Genomic DNA, 7,256 nt, shown 5'->3' on the forward strand with positions numbered 1-7,256 from the left:
ATGACTCAGTAATTTTTTCTACATGTTGACACAATAGGAATGAAAACATGTGTCCACATAGAGACAGGTAAGTGTAAATGGCCCTCTCAGCTTTCTTCCTGAATGTCAAAAAACTGCAAATAACCCAATTGTCCAAGAAATAATGCATCCATATAATGAAACACTGCTCAGCAATAAGAGGAACAAATTTCTAATACTAACAGCAATATGGCTGAATCTTTAAAACAGTATGTTGAATCAAGTCAGAAACAAAAGAGTTAATACTGTATGATTCTATTTATATGATACTCTAGAAATACAAATCTAATTTATACTGACAAAAAAAGTGGTTGCCAGAATTGCTGGGGAATTGCCAAAAAAGAACACAAGGGAACTTACTGGGGTAAAAAAAATGTTATTGATTGTGAAGGTGATAATACAGGTGCATAAATTTGTCAAAACTCTCAAAAATGTATACCAAAAAAACGGTAAACTTTGTTACGTTATATTTTAATTGTATTGCATTGTATTATATTATGTCATGTAATATTATATTGTATCATACTGCATTATACTTCATCAAAGTTAATTCATTTGGGCATGAATAAGATTTTATCCCTAGGAATCTGTTGCTACTAGACTTACCATCCTTTAGGTGGGCTTATTATGATGGAAGAAACATTGGAATTGACTGGGACTTGGGAAATCTGGAACCTGATCTGGAGTCTGTCAATGTCAAAACATGTGGTCTGGGGCAAATATGTCTCCATGGCCTCAAATGCAAAATAAGAAGCTTAAACAAGATTGTCTCTAAGTTCTAATATACTAATCATATATCACTTATCTGGTCTGGTAAGCACAACTCTGCTGGGCTGATAAGGCCCTGCACTATCAGACTATTCTTACACAGCCAATCTGCCATCTTCACTATCTCCTCCACTGCAAAAAAAAAAAAAAAAAAAGCCAACCTTCCCAGGGTCTAGGAACATTCCAATACCCCTTGTCAAAGCTGTGCCTGTGTTCATATTTTTCTTCTTGCCTGGGCTGACCTCCACTCCCTGTTGCCCACCCAGATTCCAAGTCCTCTGTGCTTGGAAGCACATCCTCATCACTCTCAGTACTTTCTTAACATAAAACCCCCAAATGAAATTATATTCTTATTCTTCGCTTAAATACAGAATTTTTAAATCACCAAATTAGATCTATTTTTAATGTTTAAAAATTGTTTCTTAGGAGTATTTCAAGACTCAGCTCATTGCCTAGCATCTTCATGAAATCATCTCACAACAACCCTGCTTCTCACTTCTCTTTCTTTCATAAAGCCTATACCCAAGCTGGAGGCAGCTTGCACCAGCTCACCAGAGAAGATTGCTAACATTCTTTCTCAGCTCCATATTCTGTAGTATCATCTGGGTAGATTAAGATCTACTGTAGAGAAATAGTGTTAACTGAGAAATGGACAATCAGTATCAGGACTATTTTTTTTCCTGGAGAGCTGATTGTTAAACATCTACCAACACACCACTGCCTTCATCCTTGTACCATATGCTGTGGCCCAGTCCATGTTATCTTGCATTGTTGTCTGTTTTCTCCCATGTGTCAGTCTTATTTCCCAAATTAGATTGTAAACAGTTTGAAAGAATGTGCCAGGGCTGTTAAATCTTCTCAGTCCTTCACACAATTCACTCAGAGAATCCTTCAATATGTACTAGGTGACTGAAGAGTATGAAGAATCTAGAATTATTATTGCATTATAATTGGAGCTTAATTTGCCAAGGAGACAGCATTAGCTACCCATGAAAATAGTGGGACTCAAACAATAAGGGATGCTTTTGTGTAGCATCCTGGCGTAAATCTCAGTGTTTTTCTCCTAATCCTTCTTCACATTTTCCCACATGGAATCAGATGATAATGACAAACTAGAGCAATCATGGGAAAAGACAAAAAATGTTGCATGGGAAAGAGAAGGGTCAGCTTTGACTTAGTGGCCAGTGATGTTAGAGCTTAGGAGGGATGAGTTTCTGAGTTGTCAATAGGTGTCAGGTCTTTATTAGTTGACCTTGCCACCTCCTTATCTCTGCTAGTTGGTGAATGTGTCCACCATCCACGTTGAGAGTTTAGAGTAAGGAATAGTGTTAACAAAGTATCCCTATGCACCAACATTACCACCATTCCTGGATCCTTTCTTTTTCTTATTATTGTGTAAATTTAAAGTTCATTAATTCTTGAATCAATCCCCAGCTCTACCACCTAACTATGAAGACTTGAGCAACTTGTTAGCCTCACCAACCCTCATTCTCATCTGTAAATAGGGTAACAAAAGTACTAACCTCAGAGTAATATTGTGAGGATTAAATTATGTAATTCATTCAAAGCCCTTAGCACAAGGTAGATGTTCAACAGTTGGTATTTCTTAAAATTATCCTTGATATTGCTCTGTAATAGGAAGAAGGTATTCAAGAATTTTTTAAAAATCAACAAAAACAAAGAGAACAAAACAGTATGAGACAATAAAAGATGAGAGCACGAGAAAGAGAGAGAGAGATTGATGTGTAGATGATCCTCTTGGGAAAATAAGAGCACTGCAATAGACTGATAAAATAGCACAGCAAATGTTTTAGTCATGAAGATTATATGCCAAATAAAAAAGAAAAGAGGGACTAGAAAATTCTAAAGATGTGATAAGATAAAAGAAGCTGTTATAGAATTTACTGGTACCTATAAAAAGGTGTGTGTCTTTTATTTAAATCTGAATGAACCTATGAGAGAAAAGAATTTAAAATATTCAATTTATTTCCTGAAAATTGATGTTTCATGTAAATAACTACTAAAGAAAACAAACAAATAAACAAAACCCTATGGCTTCTTCCCCAGACACCTTGAAACACAAGCAAATTATAAGATGCCAGGCATGGATAAAGTGACCTCTTTAAACATCTGTGATTATAATAGCTATTTGAAGAATCCAAAGGAATAAAAATCCTTGTTCATAAGATGAATGTGAGAAAGACTCTGTAAGGCTGTGCTTTTAGAACTTGAGTCCAGTTGGCATATATGTGATGTTTTCCACCCAGAATTCTAGATCCTAGCCTAGGATGGGTACAGGAACAAGTAGGACTGGAACCTGCTCGAGCTAAGAAGGACACGAAGGTATCCCCATCACCTCTCAAATCTGGTCTGACAGTGTCTATAAAAAATAAACAAACAATAAAGCAAAAAACCTAGTTCCTCTTCAGAGATATAGACTCTTACAATTACTTACTTCTCCAAATAGATTGTAGCTTAGAGAAAGAATGGCATGTGACATTTCATGGATCTCCCAGGCTCTGAAAGCTATGTCTATAGGAGGAGAAAAAGAAGTTCCTATAAGCTCAGAGATCAGGAGGAAAATCTCAGAGGAAAAGCCATGTTGTCTACACCTCCTCTCCTGGGTCTCTTTTTCTCAATACTTTCTGAGTATCTCAAGGGAAGCAATAGAATTAGACTCCAGACAGATACCAAGGAGACTTATTAAAAATGGGAATTTTTAATTTTCCCAGTAGTTGATGCTTTGAGATTTCTGGAGCAACTCTCTTAGATGGTTTATCTTCCCCTATTTTTGACTACATCGAGGGAGATTTTATATATATATAGTGCAAGAATTTTTGTCTTTAAAAAATGATGGACTCCTGCTCGACAGAGCATTGGAAGTTCTGGCCAGGGCGGATCAGGCAAAAGCAAGAAATAAAGGTATTCAAACAGGAAAAGAGGAAGTCAAACTGCCTCTGTTTGCAGATGACATGATCCTATATCTAGAAAACCCTTTATCTCAGCCCAAAAGCTACTTAAGCTGATAAGCAACTTCAACAAAGTCTCAGGATACAAAATCAATGTGCAAAAATCACAAGCATTCCTATACACCAAAAATAGACAAGCATAAAGCCAAATAATGAATGAACTCCCGTTCACAATTACTAGAAAGAGAATAAAATACCTAGGAATACAGCTAACAAGGGAAGTGAAGGACCTCTTCAAGGAGTACTACAAACCACTGTTCAATGAAATCAGAGAGGACACAAACAGATGGAAAAACATTCCGTGCTCCTGAATAGGAAGAATAAATATCGTAAAAATGGCCATACTGCCTAAAGTAATTTATAGATTCAATACTATCCCCATTAAACTACCACTGATGTTCTTCACAGAACTAGAAAAAACTACTTTAAAATTCATATGGAGGCTGGGAGCAGTGGCTCACACCTGTAATCCCAGCACTTTGGGAGGCCAAGGCGGGTGCATCACGAGGTCAGGAGATCGAGACTATCCTAGCTAACATGGTGAAACCCTGTCTCTACTAAAAATACAAAAAAAAAAAAAAAAATTAGCCAGGCATGGTGGTGGGCACCTGTAGTCTCAGCTACTTGGGAGGCTGAGGCAGAAGAATGGCATGAACCTGGGAGGCAGAGCTTGCAGTGAACTGAGATCACACCACTTCACTCCAACCTGGGAAACAGAGTGAGACTCCGTCTCAAACAAACAAACAAAAATTCATATGGAACCAAAAAAAGAGCTTGTATAGCCAAGACAATCCTAAGCAAAAGAACAAAGCTGGAGGCATCACACTACCTGGCTTCAAACTATACTGCAAGGCTACAGTAACAAAAACAGCATAGTACTGGTACAAAAACAGACACATAGACCAATGGAACACAATAGAGATTTCATAAATAAGACTGAACATCTACAACCATCTGATCTTTGACAAACCTGACAAAAACCAGCAATGGGGAAAGGGTTCCCTATTTAATAAATGATGCTGGGAAAACTGGCTAGCCATATGCAGAAAATTGAAACTAGACGTCTTCCTTACACCTTACACAAAAATTAACTCAAGGTGGATTAAAGACTTAAATGTAAAACCCAAAACTATAAAAACCCTAGAAGAAAAGTTAGGTGATACCATTCAAGACATAGGCACAGGCAAAGATTTTATGACAAAAACGCCAAAAGCAATTGCAACAAAAGCAAAAATTGACAAATGGGACTAATTAAAGAGCTTCTGCACAGCAAAAGAAACTGTCATCAGAGTGAACAGACAACCTACAGAATGGGAGAGAAATTTTGAAATCTATCCATATGACCAAGGTCTAATATCCAGAATCTACAGGGAACTTAAACAAATTTACAAGAAAAAAAAAGAAAAACAAACAACCCCGTTAAAAAGGGGACAAAGGATATGAACAGACAGTTCTCAAAAGAAGACATTTATGCAGCCAGCAAACATACGAAAAAAAGCTCAACATCACTGATCACTAGAGAAATGAAAATCAAAACCACAATGACCTACCATCTCATGCCAGTCAGAATGGTGATTATTAAAAAGTCAAGAAACAACAGAAGCTGGTGAGGTTGTGGAGAATTAGAAACACTTTTACACTGATGGTGGGAATGTGAATTAGTTCAACCATTATGGAAAACAGTGTGGTGATTCCTCAAAGACCTAGAACCAGAAATACCATTTGACCCAGCAATCCCATTACTGGGTATATACACAAAGGAATATACTTCATACTGAAGGAATATAAGTCAAATGAAAGAGATGTTCATTGCAGGTATGTTCATTGCAGCACTATTCGCAATAGTAAAGATATGAAATCAGCCCAAATGCCCATTAATGATAGACTGGATAAAGAAAATGTGGTACATACACACCATGGAATACTAGGCAGCTATAAAAAGGAATAAGATCATGTCATTTGCAGGGACATGGATGGAGCTGGAAGCCATTATGTTCAGCAAAGTAACACAGGAACAGAAAACCAAACACTCCATGTTCTCACTTATAAGTGGGAGCTGAACCATGGGAACACATGCACACAGGGAGGGGAACATCACACACTAGGGCCTGTTGGGGGATGGGGGTAGGAAGAGCATCAGGATAAATAGCTAATGCATGTGGGTTTAATACCTAGGTGATGGGTTGATAGGTGCTGCAAACCACCATGGCACACATTTACCTATATAACAAACCTGGACATCCTGCACATGTATCCTGGAAATTAAAATTTAATTAAATTAAATTTTTTAAAAGACTGTGGATTAGCCTCTGTAGTGTTTCCAAGGCAGAGGGCACTATGTGAGTAGGTAACGTTTGGTATTTTCCAAAGACATCAATTTGTTAACTAATTCCATTTCAGCAGTATAGATTTTCTGAGAAAATCGTAGCCTGAGTATTGGCAGTTAGACTCTTTCTGGGAGACTTTTCATTGGGCATGTCAAGCTCCTGGCATCCAGGGTTTCCTATATTTGCACAATGCCAACTCCTCTTGCCTGATGCAAATTCCTGTCTCCTGCATGTCACTCAAAGTTCTTCTGAGACAGTTGCAAGTGATGTTTTGATTTTTTCATTTGACTTCTGTTTATTTTTCTCTTTACTACATGGAAGTTATGGAATGGTGTGAAGACTTGTAATTGCTTTTTATTCCATAAGACCATTCCATCAGCTTGGAATTGTGCATTTTTGATTTAGTGCAAGTACACACCGGGGTCGTAATCAAGTAGTCATATCAACTGTGGCACCTGCTTCCATCCAGTACAGTTAAATGTCCTTAAACCTCCACAGCATTTCAATAAAAATCAGAATAATGAATTCTTGAGTTGTCCCCAAATCCTGTTCTACTTCATGTTTTCAATCCCATAACCCCTTAACTCAGTCGTTCCTCAAGTTTATAGTGACCTTGATATCTTGCATAACCCTTAGGACCTTAGAAGTTATCTGAAGCATATTCATAAATCCCTTAATCTTCAGTTATCTCCATGATCTCTGCCTTTCACCTGTCCTATGTTTGTTTCAGCTCTTCTGACAGAAGCAATGTCATCACTAATTCTTCCTCCCCCAACATTGTTTTTACTTGTGTATTTTTTTAATTTCAAACTTATGAAAAAGTTGCAAGTATAATACAAGTAACTCCTACATACCCTGTTCCTAGATACACCAATTGTTTACTTTTTGCCTCATTTGCTTCATCATTTCTATCTCTAAATTATATGAGAGTAAATTGGAGTCATCATGCCCCTTTACTCTTAAATACGTTAGTCAGTGTTTCCTAGGAAAAAGGAAATTCTCTTATATAAGGTGATCAAATTACAAAGACACTAAATCAAGAACCACTGTCATTCCTAAACACTTAGTGTCATAAAACATAAATTAAGACATAAAGTTCAGTTGTCCACATCACAATTCCAATACATCCCCTTCTGATTTCTGCGTACCCTTTATTGCTTTCCCCCAAGGCCTT

Source organism: Homo sapiens, chromosome 1 (assembly GCF_000001405.40).
Source record: "Homo sapiens chromosome 1, GRCh38.p14 Primary Assembly".
Lineage (NCBI taxonomy): Eukaryota > Metazoa > Chordata > Mammalia > Primates > Hominidae > Homo > Homo sapiens.